Below are 15,190 nucleotides of genomic sequence, written 5' to 3' on the forward strand. Positions count from 1 at the left end.
CCGGGGGAACTGAGATATAAATCCTGTTGTCCAGCCGGAGAGTCAGTGCGCTCACACCACACTACACTCCCCAGCCCATCATCTTTCTCATTCTTGGCATATTTTTTGTTTGGTTAAAAAGAGGGGAAGGGAAGGGAAAGAAAGAGAAGACTCACCGAGAGGTTGATGTTGTTATGAAAGTGATAGACTTCGATCCCACATCTGCCACTCCGCCAATCCACCTCTCCAGCTATGACACCACTTGGAGGCCTGCTCATTTCTTTCTGTAGACTTTATCTGTAAACATTTTTTTTCTTAAAAAAACATGATGACTATTTATTGCACTTTCTTTTCTGTCTCACATCTGCTTCTCACTATCTTTGAATTCGGGGGACTTCAGGTGACAGTTGATTCATTGCTAGTCCTTAGTTTAAAGAGAAGGAGACTCTTGCAGACCATCGAAGCACCTGATGTCACAGTGCCCAAACTCCCATAGAATGTAAATTCTCCAATGCCAGTTTCCTTTCTCTATAAGTCAGTAGAAAAATGGACAGAGTCTGAACATGATATTCAATGAGGAAATAGAGATGATTTTTAAATACATAAAATTAATGCTCAATCTTACTAATTAAAAGAAGTACCAGTTTATGTGGTTTCCTAGGGCTGCCATGATAAATTGCCACAAACTGGTAGCTTACAACAACAGATACTTACAGTCTCACAGTTCGGGAGCACTGAGGTCCCAAGTGGAACTGTCAGTAGGGCCATGCTTCCTGTGGAACTGGGTGGACTCCTTCCTTGACTCTTCCTAGCTTTTGGCAGTGGCCACCAATCCTTGTTCCTTGGCTTGCAGCTGCATCACTCTGGTCTCTGCCCTGTCCTCAGGTACTTTCCCTCAGTGTGTGTGTGTGTGTGTGTGTGTGTGTGTGTGTGTGTGTGTAGGGGGTGGGGGAACACGTGTGCACTAAACCTCTATTATTTTTTGTATTTTCCACCTCTTCTTATAAGGACACTAGTCACATTCAATAAGGGCTCACCTTATTTACCTCACCTTAACTTGATTACATCAGCAAATATCCTATTTCCAAATAAGGTCACACGCACAGGTACATGAGGATAGGACTCGAAACTATCTTTTTGGGGAACATAATTCAGCCCATAATATATGTTATTTTTGTCCATCAAACTGAAAATGTAAAAAAGTTTGGCTAAGTATAGGAAATGCATATACATATACACTGAAAACTAGACAATAAAATGACCGAGCAATGTGAAAAAATAAAATGTATATATACCATATTACCTAGTAATCACATGGTAATCTATTTCTTCTCCTATAAAAATATTAGCACATGCATATAAAGGTAATATAGCTGTAGACACAGATGTTTATTGCAGTGTTTGTTATTGTAAAAAAAAATTAAAAATCTAGATGTTGGCCGGGCATGGTGGCTCATGCCTGTAATCCCTGCACTTTGGGAGGCTGAGGTGGGCAGATCACCTGAGGTCAGGAGTTCAAGACCAGTCTGGCCAACATGGCGAAACCCTGTCTCTACTAAAAATACAAAAATTAGTCAGGCTTGGTGGCACACACCTGTAATCCCAGCTACTCGGGAGGTTGAGGCAGGAGAATTGCTTGAATCCAGGAGGCGGGGGTTGCAGTGAGCCGAGATTGTGCCATCACACTCTAGCCTGGGCAACAAGAGTGAAATTCTGTTTCAACAAAAAACAAAACAAAAAAATTTAGATGTTGATAAGTAGAAAATGTATTAAAACATTAAGGCACAGTCTTAAAATTATACAAACATATTATTATTATAAAGAATGTGTGATGTAGATACACATGTATGACTTGAAAATAAGTTTTGATATATCACTATGATAGAATAGCAAATTATAGAAAAACATGTATGTTCAAACCTGCATGAATTGTAAATAAATTTTTTTTAATAACTATGTTTTTATTCTGTAAGGATACACATCAATCTTTTAATAGCAGTTAACTCTGTAAAGTAGAATTCAATTGAGAGGAAGAACTTTGACATTTTACTCTGTATACTCCTGTAAGATTTTACTTTATTATTTTCTGAAAAAGGGTACAGTCTTCCTAACTCCTAATTGCAATCCACTTTGAGCCAGGCCCAGACAAACCCATCCAATGTTGTTACCCATGGAAAAGCAATTGGTTGATGGTGATGCTTCAGAATATTCCTGATCCTCCCAGAAGAGCATGGCATGCAGATACTGGAACTCAGAACACAATATCCCAAAGTATGTCACCTTAGGCCGCTGAGTATTTTGAACTCAAGGAAATTGAAAGGGACTTAGAAGCAAGTAATTTCCTCTGAACTTCTCCTGCCCTTCTTTCTCCTTTCCCCACTTCTCCTCCAAAGCAGGTTATGAAAACTAGAACTCCCCTGAAGCAAGCCATAAAAACTAGAAATGTAACTCTCCGGCCTTCTTTCTTTTCTCCTGCTATGGTTTGAATGTGTCCCTCCACGTTCACGTGTTGAAAACTTGACCCCCATTATGGTGGTGTTGGGAGGTGGGGTCTAATGAGAGGTATTTGAGTCATGGGTGCACTGCCTCCATGAATAGATTAATGCCATTATCGGGGAGTGAGCTTGCTGTCACAGGAGTGGGTTCCTTATAAAAGAATGAGTTTGGCCCTCCTTTCTCTCTCTCTCTCACCCTCTTTTGTCCTTCCACCTTGTGATGACACAGCAAGAAGGCCCTTGACAGATGCTGGCCTCTTGATTTTGGACTTCCCAACCTCCAGAACCATGAAAAATAAATTTCTGTTCATTATAAATTACCCAGTCTCCAGTATTCTTTTGTAGATGCACAAAACTAAGACATTCCCTGAAAGCCTTCATGTGAAAGGTATCCTGCCCTACACTAGGAGGAAGGAATGCTACATAAAGAGGCTAAGAAGAACCTGAACAAACAGGCTTTGCTGGATCAGTTTATGACCATAAAATTACACCCCTTTTTGCCCCTCAGTTTATGACCATAAAATTACACCTCTTTTTGTTAAATCACATTTCTACATGGCTGTCCATTCTTTAATGAACCTACAAAAACACACAGTTTTCCCAGGGTCTTTGGGTCTTCATGTCACATAAAACTTTGATTAAATAAATTTGTCATACATTTCTCTTGTTAATCTGTCTTTCGTTATAGGAGTATCAGTCATGGTCTGTGAAATGGGTGAGGAAAAGGTATTACACCTTTTTGTCCCTACACAGCTATGTTCTCCCAAGCCACCTTGTAAAACCAGATGTTAGGATGGATGCACCTCTAGATCATTGTCAGGACTGGGCCTCTAATAAAATACTGAAATATTCTAGTGCTGGAAAATAAGATTGTGTCCAATAAAAGCTGGAAATAGAATGGTGCGATGGAGAGGAGGGCAGAAACTGAGAGTGTGAGCATTCTCATTGCTCAGTAATTGAGAGTAAACAAGGATAGGAGCAGCCAGAGGAGTGGGATGGACAAGCCCTGGGGGTGACCACTTTCAGACTCTCTTCATTTGTATGACACTGTTTAGCCCAAGTGTTCCTGTGTATGATTGCTGCTGTTCCACTGGTCCTAAGCTGTGGGACATTTTGGATTCTGCAAATCACTCAGGATGGCCATATGGCACCCTAAATCTAATTGCCTGGGATGGGGCATATCACAGTGATAGCACACCTATCAAGCCAGTAAACTGTCCTATTTCTGCAACACAAACAGGTTGATTTCCTGATCATAATAGCTGCTATTTCTTAAAGTTTCTCCTAGACATATTCTGTGGTCTTGGTTTGCTGCCACGTGTCACACTGAGGTCTCTGTATTGTAAAGATCACAGAGCTAGTACTCAAATGCACAGAGCCTGCTGACATTAGTCATCTGAATAGCCATTTGGGCAAAGTGGAAAAACACTGGGCACTGCAGACCATTGAGAAGCATTTCTGCAGAATAGAGACAGCTTGTGAATTTTGGAGACTTTCCAAAATTTCCTGTTCTGATTTTTTTAAGATGATCTAGTTAAAATTGTATCCTCTACTGGTAACTTATCAGATGCCCAGAGTTTTTTTAAAAAGAAAATTCTTAATATTCATTTGTTAAATAAAATTCAACAAATCTATCCTTTTGTGATAAGATGTAAGAAATGGGGTAGGCAGTATTCATTTGTGATCATTAAAGCATGAACACTTCATGGCTACTTTTGGTCCAAGATATCACTGAAAAATGTGTTAAAAGTAAAGCTAGAATGCAGAAAAGTATTCAAGGTGTCCTTCAAATAAAAGCTTAAGTTAAATGCTTCCTGGACTTCAAAAAATTATTGATTGGATTTGGGGTTTTAAGCCATCAAGCTCTGCTAGAGGGGGGATTCTGGACTCAAACTAGTTTTAACTTTTTAAAAAATCAGCTCAATAAATTATCTCAAAGCAAATATAAAGATAGCCAATATACAGATCAAGAAATAGAACATTGCTAGCACCTAAAAGTGGCCTTGAACTCTTTCCTAAGCACAAATGTTTTCTTCTCTTCAAAGGTAAACAATACTGTAGCATACTTCTTTCTGTTTTTGAACTTTATAAATAGAATAACGTAATATATATTTTTTCATATCTGGCCTCCTGTTTCCGTGTGTTTGTGAGATGTATCACGTTGTTACTCGTACTTGGTTCAATTTACTAATATATAGTTTCCATTGTATGAACAGCCTATAATTTCCTTATTCATTCCACATTTGAAAGGAACTTGGGTTGTTTTCTGTGTGATGAGATATGAGTTACCTTTCTTAGGTGAGAAAGCTTTCCTTATAAAAATTATTTTTTCATATTGAGTTTAAAGAACATTTTCCTTAATACATACAATGAAGTGTCTGAGAATATGAATATACGTTTAACGGGCTACAATTAAAATGACAGAGGTGTAATATGTTAACATAAGTGCTTAGCATTCTATTTACAATTCATACTCCAAATTTAACTTTAGGATGATCACCTGATGTATAAAATACTTATATACCAAGAATGCATCTAAAATTAATATGACAATTATTGAGGGAAGAGTTCCAAATAATCAAATATCATCTTCTGAGTAATCAATTTGCTAGCTTATTTAGGAACTTTTGAAGTATTGGTTTCTCTGCTTGTAAAATGGCCAACAGTCCTAGATCAGATATAAGATGTTTTTACTTTTTTTCAGTTAATTGGCTTCTAGTGATCCAATCCCGAGCTGTTGAAGGAATTATAAATTGGTTCAAGGTTTCAAAGTAGAGTTTGGCAACATGTCCCAAAGCTTAAAATTTTGCAATTTATTGGCCCCCAAATTCAGCTTTCAGAAATGCATGTGGAGAAGAATCATTAAGAGTTATTTGTAATAGCAGAGACAACCTTAAATCACATAATCATTAGGTATAATCATAAGACAATTAGTTCCTTAATTCATACAACAAATACTCATATGTTAAATTATATACCGAACTGTGCTATACATTGGGAATTTTGTAGTAATCAAGACTGAAAGGTTCCTGAGATCATGAAGTTTGAAATTTAAAGGGAGATAGATGTTAAGTCAATATTTATCCAAATATGTATTTAATGTTAAAAGTTAAGTACTATGTACATACTTTCAACACCTTGGGTTTTCAGATTTTTTTTTTTTAATAGAGAGAGGATCTTTCTCTGCCACCCAGTCTGGAGTGCAGTGGTGCTATCATAGTTCACTGCAACCTCCACCTGTCAGGCTCAAGCAATCCTCCTGCCTCAGCCTCTCAAGTAGCTAGACTACAGGCTCTCACCACCATCACTGGCTAATTTTACAACTTTTTTATAGAGATGGGATCTCTCTATGTTGCCCAGGCTAATCTCACACTCTTGGCCTTAGGTGATATCTGCTTTGGCCTCGCAAAGTGCTGGGGTTACAGGCGTGAGCCAATGCACCCAACTTATTTATTTATTTGTCTATTATTTATTTATTTATTTATTTATTTATTTACCAGTGATTGTGAGACCCCTCATGCCAGAGTTTAATGTTTTAATTATTTTTAAAAAGTGATTTTGTAGAAGAATGTTAAAGGACAGGAGAAAATAGAACTTAAGAGTGCTTTACATCTTTTGGATACCAGTCCTTTATCAGATATATTATTTGTAAATATTTTCTCCCAGTCTGTGGTGTCAAGGACTGTGAAGGGTCTGGTATTTTACCCTGCTGTTGAACAAACAAGTGAGCCTGCCAGTTTCCAAGAAATGGGCAGGAGTTGGCAGCTCCTGGGTTAGAGAAAAGGGACTTGATAGCATCACAGCAAGAAGCATGAGCTTCACATTCACATCTGCTTCCATTGCCCACCCCTGACCCAAGACCTATGAGGATGTAGCAAGGCCCAGGGAGGCCCTACAGACAAGGTGGGTTGATGTCACAGGTGAGAAACTCCAAGCTTAGGAAACGCGAGATATTTAAAGGGGGCTGGCTAGCAAGCCTACCCAACCTTTCCCCTCGCCCCTCCAAAAGACAATATCTTTATTATACTGGTCAGGAAAAAAAGTAACCCAAACCCACAGGGAGCCATTATCTCTACCTCCCAAGGCTTTTTGCTGCGTAAATATCTTTGATGAGATGGTTCAGAACAAAAGTGGTGAATGCATTTGCTTGGAACACCTGCAGAAACATGAGAGACCCAAAGAAAATTGCCTTAATATATTACTTGTCTTTTTTTATTCTCTTAGCAGTGTCTTTTGAAGAACAGAAAATTATTTTTTAATGAAGTGCAATTTATCAATTTGATTTTTCATAGATCATGTTTACAGTGATACCTAAAATATTTCTGGGTTTTTTTTTGTGTGTGTGTGTTTTTTTTTTTTTTTTTTTGAGACGGAGGTTCATTCTTGTTGCTCAGGCTGGAGTGCAATGGCGAGTTCTCGGCTCACCACAACCTCTGCCTCCCAGGTTCAAGTGATACTCCTGCTTCAGCTTCCCGAGTAGCTGGGATTACAGGGATGTGCCACCACGTCCGGCTAATTTTGTATTTTTAGCAGAGACGGAGTTTCTCCATGTTGGTCAGGCTGGTCTCAAACTCCCGACCTCAGGTGATTTGCCCACCTCAGCCTCCCAAAGTGCTGAGATTACAGGCGTGAGCCACTGTGCCCAGCCTGATATCTAAAATATTTCTACCTAATCCAAAGTCTCAAAGATTTTGTCTATGCTTTCTTCTAAAAGTTTTATAGTTTTAGGTTTTACATTAACATTTATAATTCATTTTAAGTTATTTTTGTATGTGTTTGGTATGAGATAAGGATCAAATTTCACATATGCATACCTAATTGTTCTGGCATCACTTTTTGAAAGACTATCTTTTCCACTGACTTGACTGCCTATTTGTAAAAATGAATCCTAAAAAATCAATGGCCTATAAATGTGTAGGTCCATTTCTGTACTCTATTCTGCTCCATTGATTTGATAGGTTCCACTGAGGTATCCTGATGCCAATTCCACATTATTTTGAATATGGTAGCTTTATAAAGGTATTAGAATCAGGTACTGGTATTCCTCCAATTTTATCCTTCTTTTTCAAAGCAGTTTTAGCTATCCTAGGTCCTTTACATTTCCATATGTATTAAATTATACAATCAGCTTGCTATTTTCTATTAAAAACTTTCTGGGATTTTGACTGGGATTGTGTTGAACCCATAAATCAATTTGGGGAGAATTAATATCTTAACAACTTTGAGTCATCTGACCCATGAACACAGTATATCTCTACATTTATTTAATTTTTCCCTAGTAATGTTTTATGGTTTTCAGGGTACAAGTCTTACATATCTTTTGTCAGATTCATCATTAAGTTTTTAATAGTTTGTGTTTCTATTTCTATTTCTTTCCCTATCTTTGTACTTTCAACCTTTCTGAGCCTTTTTACTTGTATGCAGTGTTGTATTTTTAAAATCTCATTTGACAGTGTTTTCCTTTTAATTGGAGTATATAGTACATTTATATTTGTATTCAGACAACTCAGACACAGCTTCCCACGTCCCCAGTCATGCATGGAACACTTTGCGATCTCAGGGCTAGCAATAAGCTGATGCAAATCAGGTCTCATCAGCACAGAGAAACTCTTTTGTCTAGGGTCCCTCAGCCTCAATACTCGGCTCGCCATCCAGCACCCATGAGGGTAAGTGACTAACTTCCATTCTGTGGTATACATAAACATCACAAGTTACAAGTTTCTCAATGAGCAATCTTGACAGCCAAATACATTTTATGGAAGATTCTTGGATCAGTATCTTGTAGGTGGCAGGCATTGTAGGACTTTCTTCTCTCTTCAAGGATGATGTTCCAAGAAGTTCAAGGTCAATTCTTTAGCCTGGGGGGAGGACTCAGGGACCCATTCCTTCCTGGAACACCAGCATGAGAATTGAGAGGTGATGAGATAAATAAGATTCATTTTGCTGCCTTGAGCTTTCCAGATTTCTGATCAAATAAGGAACTTTCTTTTCTTTTCTTTGTTTTTGGAGATGGAGTCTTGCTCTGTCACCCAGGCTGGAGTGCAGTGGCATGATCTCGGCTCACTGCAACCTCCACCTCCTGGGTTCAAGCAATTCTCCTGCCTCAGCCTCCCTAGTAGCTGGGCCAACAGGCGTATGCCACCACACCCAGCTAATTTTTTGGATTTAGTAGAGATGGGGTTTCACCGTGTTGCCCTGGTTGGTCTCGAACTCCTGAGCTCAGGCAATCCACCAGCCTCTGCCTCCCAAAGTGCTGGGATTACAGGCATGAGCCACTGCACCTGTCCAGGAACTTTCTTTCCTAAAATTCTCCTTAGAAATCTTTTATTATCCCACAGAGTTGATTCCTTTTCTCTCAACTTTCTTCGTCTACTTTTGCTTTCTCTCTTCATTATGCAGCATCCCATTCTACTAGGCTAGACATATAAAAAGATCTTTGAAAATGGTAATCACACTTGTAAGAAATTAAGCATGTTAATTTGACATCTCCTTTACATTTTTTCCACAAAACAGAAGGACACTGTCTCTGTGGGTTCAGTCTGAAATATTTCTTACCAGTTGGTTTTAGGCCTTGTGTAAAGGAATGCAATTTTTAAAATGTTATTCAATCATCTTGAGACATAGCCTTTTCTTTGAGATCTTTCTTTCAATGTGAAAACCTTTGCTATTCTCTTTTCTTAAAAAATCTCTTGCCCCATCCTCTGTCACATAATAGTAATCTGACCCCTTTTCTTAAGGATATGTCCTGCTTTCTTGTTTTTAGGAAGCAAATAAAAGGCATTAATGAAGTGCCAACTGGTAGCTAATGAGGCATAGTCTTTGCCTTTTTTTCCTACTATGTAAGTAATTGAAGAACCAAAAGTTATTGGTTGATTGCCAGATTTGTGAAGCAGTACAGCAAAGTCAAACAACCAGCAAATTTCTGTCAATCATTACAGTGCAGCTAGCAAGGGCTACGTGAAATAGAAAGAACTTGAAGAAATAATAAAAAGTAAAGTTTAACTTGTCCCAGGCAAATTCCCTACAGGATGCCCTCTCTAAAAGAAGGTTGGCCTTCTGCAGATCAGTGACTGTCAGGTGCCTGAAACCTGCTATCTCAAAACTTTCTACATTTCTGGCATAAGGCAGTCATTCTGGTTAATGCTGAAGTGAAGAATCAAGACCAAAGGCACCGATTTTCCATGTCACACAACTCAAGGCTTAGAACACATGCCTGGGGAGAGAATGGTGCTCTCCTGTTCAATGAATGCTGAAATTGCAGAAGGAGACCACTTTTTCAACAGCATGGACTGCTGCTGGGTGCCAGCATCTAATCACTCTGAGGGAGGGGCTGGTGCTTCCCCTAATTGTGTCGCTTAAAGCTCACAAATCAAGGGCTAGTCCCTCTCTCTCAGAGTCTGATGTCCAGCCATGCTAGACACTCATTCTGTCTCAAAGTGTGATAGGCAACAGGGAGACCACACACCTGCTACCAGTTCCACTCTATGTGCCATGAGTGAGGACTGCTCATTTGTCCTTGCTTGATAGATAAATTGTATCTGGCAGAGAAGTTCAAATGCTAAGAACATGTGAACCACAAGGCAAAAACTCACATGCACTACTGGGTATGTATCCAAAGGAAATGGGATCAGTATGTCAGAGACATATCTGCACTCACATGTTTATCACAGCGCTATTCAGAAGAGCCAAGATACAGAATCCACCTAAGTGTCCTTCAGTTGATGAATGGATAAAGAAAAACATGGTCTACACACAATGGAATACTATTCAGCCATAAAAATGAATGAAATCCCGTAATTTGTGGCAACATGGATGAACCTGGAATGACATTATGTTAAGTGAAATGAGCCAGGCACAGAAAGACAAATATTGCATATTCTCACTCACTGACCTCACAGAAATAGAGAGTAGAATAGTAAATAGCAGAGGCAGGGAGGTTGGGGAGGATGGAGAGAGGTTGGTCAGTGGGTACAAAGTTACAGTTTGATAGGAGGAACAGGTTCTGTTGTTCTAGTGCACACTAGGGTGGCTATGGTTAATAATATTGTATTGTATATTTCAAAAAAGCTATGATATGGTTTGGAGGTTTTGCCCCTCTAAATCTCATGTTGAAATGTGATCCCCAGTGTCGGAGGTGGGGCCTGATGGGAGGTGTTTGGGGAGGTGTGGGGGCAGAGCCTGCATTAATGGCTTGGTGCCCTCCCCGTGGTAGTGGGCAAGTTCTCTCTCTCTGAGTTCACGTGAGAGCTGGTTGTTTGAAAGAACCTGGCACCTTTCTCCCCCGTCTCTCTCTTGCTCCCTCTATTGCCATGTGGTATGTCTGCTCCCCTTTCATCTTCCGTCATGATAGCAAGTTTCCTGAGACCTCTCCAGAAACAGATGCTGGCACTGTGTTTTGTGTATAGCCTGCAGAACTGCGAGCCGAATAAACCTCTTTTCTTTATAAATTACCCAGTCTCAGGTATTCCTTTATAGCAATGCAAAAATAAACTATTACAAGCTAGAAAAGAGGATTTTGAATGTTCTCACCACAAAGAAAGGATAAATGTATGAGATGATGAATAGGCTGAAAACCTTGTGTTGGTCATTACACAATGTACACATGTATGGAATTATCACACTGTGGCCCATAAAAATGTAGTTACTGTGTGTTGATTAAAAACAAAATTAAACATACCTCACATGCCTACAGGGTAAGGAAGGTAATAGAGTGGATCCAAAGTAGCAATATGGATTCAACATAAAGTAGAGGGGCCAACTGGAGCATACACACCCTGCCTCTCTGGTCCCAGCAGACTGCCGTGTAGGCATGGAGGCTCTGTGTTGCCAGATCCTCCAATGCTCAAGAGATACCACAAACCAGATTTTACTTTGACAGAATTACTGTGAGATCTTCTGGTATTTTTAAATTTCTGAGAGTAAATTAAAATAAAATAAACACATAAACACACACACACAAACCACAAAAGCCCTTTGTAGCCTAACACTATGTAAGCTGAATATCACACTCCTGTGGCCCATAGCCTGCTAATGCACAGCCTCTGATATAGATGATAAGTGCTATAAGATTCAGAGGCAGGGCCAGGCGTGGTGGCTCACACCTGTAATCCCAGCACATTGGGAGGCCGAGGCGGGCAGATCGCCTGAGGTCAGGAGTTCAAGACCAGCCTGACCAACATGATGAAACCTCTTCTCTACTAAAAATACAAAAATTAGCTGGGCATGGGGCAGGCGCCTATAATCCCAGCTACTTGGGAGGCTGAGGCAGGAGAATGGCTTGAGCCCGGGAGGTGGAGGTTGCAGTGAGTCGAGATTGCGCCACTGCACTCCAGCCTGGGCAACTGAGTGGGAATCTGTTTCAAAAAAAAAAAAAGATTCAGAGGTGGGAGAAATTCTGTCCAGCCACTATGTCCACTAAAAGCAAGACAAGTTTAAAAGGCAAATGAGTTGACTATAAAAAAATAATTTATAGAGAGAAATGGTCTATCCCCAAACTGTTGTCAGGGTGTCTGGAATACTTCAAAGAAACTCTGGGAGATTCAATGGTTATTTTTTGAATGCATGCAGGAAAGAAAAGCTCAGAAGCATCTAAGCAACCAGAAGAAATATTTTTACCTCCTGGGAAGCCTGAATTGATTGAATGAGAAGTAAATTCTCTTTTGTCTGAGGTCTAGACTTCTGGAGATACCTCCTTTTTTTTTTTCTTTTTTCCGTTATCTTTGTTTAAATCAAGGATGTACTTTATCGGCAAAGCTTAATCACAGTTAAATAATATCCTAGTTAAGTTGACCAGGTTCCACTCTAGAGCAATTTCTGGAAATGATAGGATAAGCCCATTTTGCAAGATTACTGATTGGCAGTTAATGGAGCTCTCACACTTTTATTTTAGAGGGTAGTTAAAGAAGGCTACCTGTAGTAGCTTTTACTGAGGGCTTGCCACGTGTGAGCACCTGCTAAGTATTTAGAAAATATTGCATGGTCTTATAAATGTGTATTACTCAATTTACCCAGTGAGGTCACATAGTTAGTTAGTTGTGGGGTTGGGATTCAAGCCCAGATTTACCTGACTTCTAAGACTATCTCTAAACCAGCATACATATACCATTCTTTCCAGTCATTGCTTAGGGAAGAGATCTCATTTTCCTTCTAAATATACTCAGATTTGTAGAAGTTAAGTGAATTTCTCAAGAACGGAAATCTAGTAAGTTGCAGACTTATAATAAGACAGACAGTTCAGGCTTCTGACTTCCAGTCCTGAACACTTCCCCCATGTGATTATCTTATTTATCTCTAAGTCAGGAGAATGTTAATTACTTTAAGACTAAGACGGAAATCCCCCATGAACCTGGAAACTCAAATAGCAGAATGGATGAGGCTCTGCAGGGTCTCAGCAACTCAGCAACACAGACTTCCCCTCACCAAGGCTGATACGGCCATTGCTACTGCTGAGCTGCTGAGCGCCAGCCTGCCCATAACAGAAGTGAACACTAAGCTTCCTGAAGTGGCCGTATTCCCCAAGGGGACCAAGTGGCAGGTTTATTATGTAGGATCTTTTTCATCAAAGAGAGAAAAGCAACTCTCTTAAAGGAATAGAGAAATATTCCAGATGTAGATTTGCCTTTTCCATCATTCTTCCATTTATAGTTATTTTATTCATGAATATGATATCCTACACAATCCTACTACTGATTATAGAACTAATTATATGGTGAAGGGATGTGGGCTTTCACCACAGAATTCAGAAATCTCATGCGTTTCATCATACAGAAGCAGCTCACTCCATAGAACAAGAAATAGAACAGCCTGCTAAAGGCTCAGCCATGATGTCAGCTGGGAGACAATAAATACCCATCAATATTTGGCACTATTTCTCTCACACTCAGAATACGTGGTTCCTGGAATCAAGGAGTCTAGTTGAGAGTAGCCCCTTTTTACACCAAATAAGCCATTTACAAGATTTTTGCTTTTGAGGCCTCAAACATTGAGCTTAGTGACTTTGGAGGGCCAAGTTTTCAAGGCAGGATTGCTTCCACTTGGGAACCAAATCATGATTTCATCAAACTGGAAGCTGAGACCGTCAGTCCTAAGACTATCCCTTGACCAGTTTGGGATCCTCATGGTTCTGAACCAACAGGTAAGGAAGGCAGTTGCTCTAGTGATTCAGGTAGTTAAACACAGTTATAAAAAGGAAGTGGGATTATTGCTTCCTAATTGGAGCCAGGAGGACTATCCTGCTACTTGTCCTCTCAGGAGTCTCAGCTTCATAGTCAATGGAAAACTGTGATAACCCAATAGACAAGACTGCAAGGAATGAAGGGTTGAGTCACCCTTTCAGCAACCTACCAAGTAGGCCCTAGCAGAGTAAGAACATGCAATGAGTAGAGGAATTAGTAAGATGTGGTTATCAATTTAGGCCTAATGACCAACTAGGGAAGTGGGAACCATAGCAACTGTCTTAGTACTTATTTACCCAACTTTTATCTATATTCCATGTAAACAGAATTGTTGCATATAAACATTTTATCTGCATTTTATGGCCGCATTTTATCATTAAAGACACAAAAAAAATTAACCCTTGACACGTCCTTGCAAATACTCCATTAAGCTTTCCTCAATTCCTCTGGGAGTGTGCAGTCTAATTCTTGTCATGAGTGGATACAGTTCTAGATGAAGAATTATCACCAATATCTTTAAAATCAGTTAATTCTTCAGAAGCTCCGACTGAATTTTGCCATTTTGACTTTGATTATCATTGTTTCTATTGCATTGCAACTTGAGTATAAAATCGAGAGCAAATGGTTTTAGAGTTTGAAGGCTTCACTACAGCTTTTTGAACCCAAGAGAGCATAATCTTTTAAGATGATGCAAAGGCTTGGGGTTTATTATTTACTGTTGATAATAACAAATCAACTTGCTATTAGTAATTATTAATATGCTGTTTCTAGACTTGTCATTTTATAAGCTTAAATTAAGTTTGAAATTTAGTGGTAACATTCTAAACAGTGAGTTTTGGGTTGCATATACCTTTGAAAATGTGATGAAAGCTATGAAACTTCGCAGAAATACGGGCGTACACACAAACTGCAAAATGTTCAAGTTTTATACAAGTTAAAACCTCAGTTTTAGAGGCTACTCCACATTCACATGTTTGTCTCCTTCAAAGTTGTGATTACTGATCATGAGACACTAGCTATGTGAACTCCATAGTCTCAGGAAATTTCATTACCTTTTATTTATATTTTCAAAGAGAGAGTGAGCAAGAGAGAGAAACTACATTACATTTAGATCAAAATGAAAAGATATTAGGTGATTGAATTGAATGGGTAAATAAAAATGAGTTACATTTCTCTGGCAGTAGGCTGAGTTCAAGTTTTGAAATGTCTGAGTTCCAAAGCAGTAGAAAATAATATTAAAAACTCACGGCAGGACTAGTATTATAGCCAAGTAATGCACTAATTATAAGAGATTTGAAAGACCTCAAATTTCCAAGAGAAATCAAATATGAAAATAAGATTAGAAACTGGGAACTCTTCATTTTGTATGAAAATTCCAAATATCTCAAAAGTGGCAATGGCTGCAACATAAAAATGCCCATATTGGTCAGATTATTTTTATTTCTACTCTAGTACTGTCTCTACTACTAGCTATAATTTTGCCTACTGTTCTTTCATTTGTTTATTAAATAACATTATTTGGATACATTTCTAAGATACTGG

The sequence above is a fragment of the Homo sapiens genome, chromosome 9, assembly GCF_000001405.40.
Source record: "Homo sapiens chromosome 9, GRCh38.p14 Primary Assembly".
Taxonomy (NCBI): domain Eukaryota; kingdom Metazoa; phylum Chordata; class Mammalia; order Primates; family Hominidae; genus Homo; species Homo sapiens.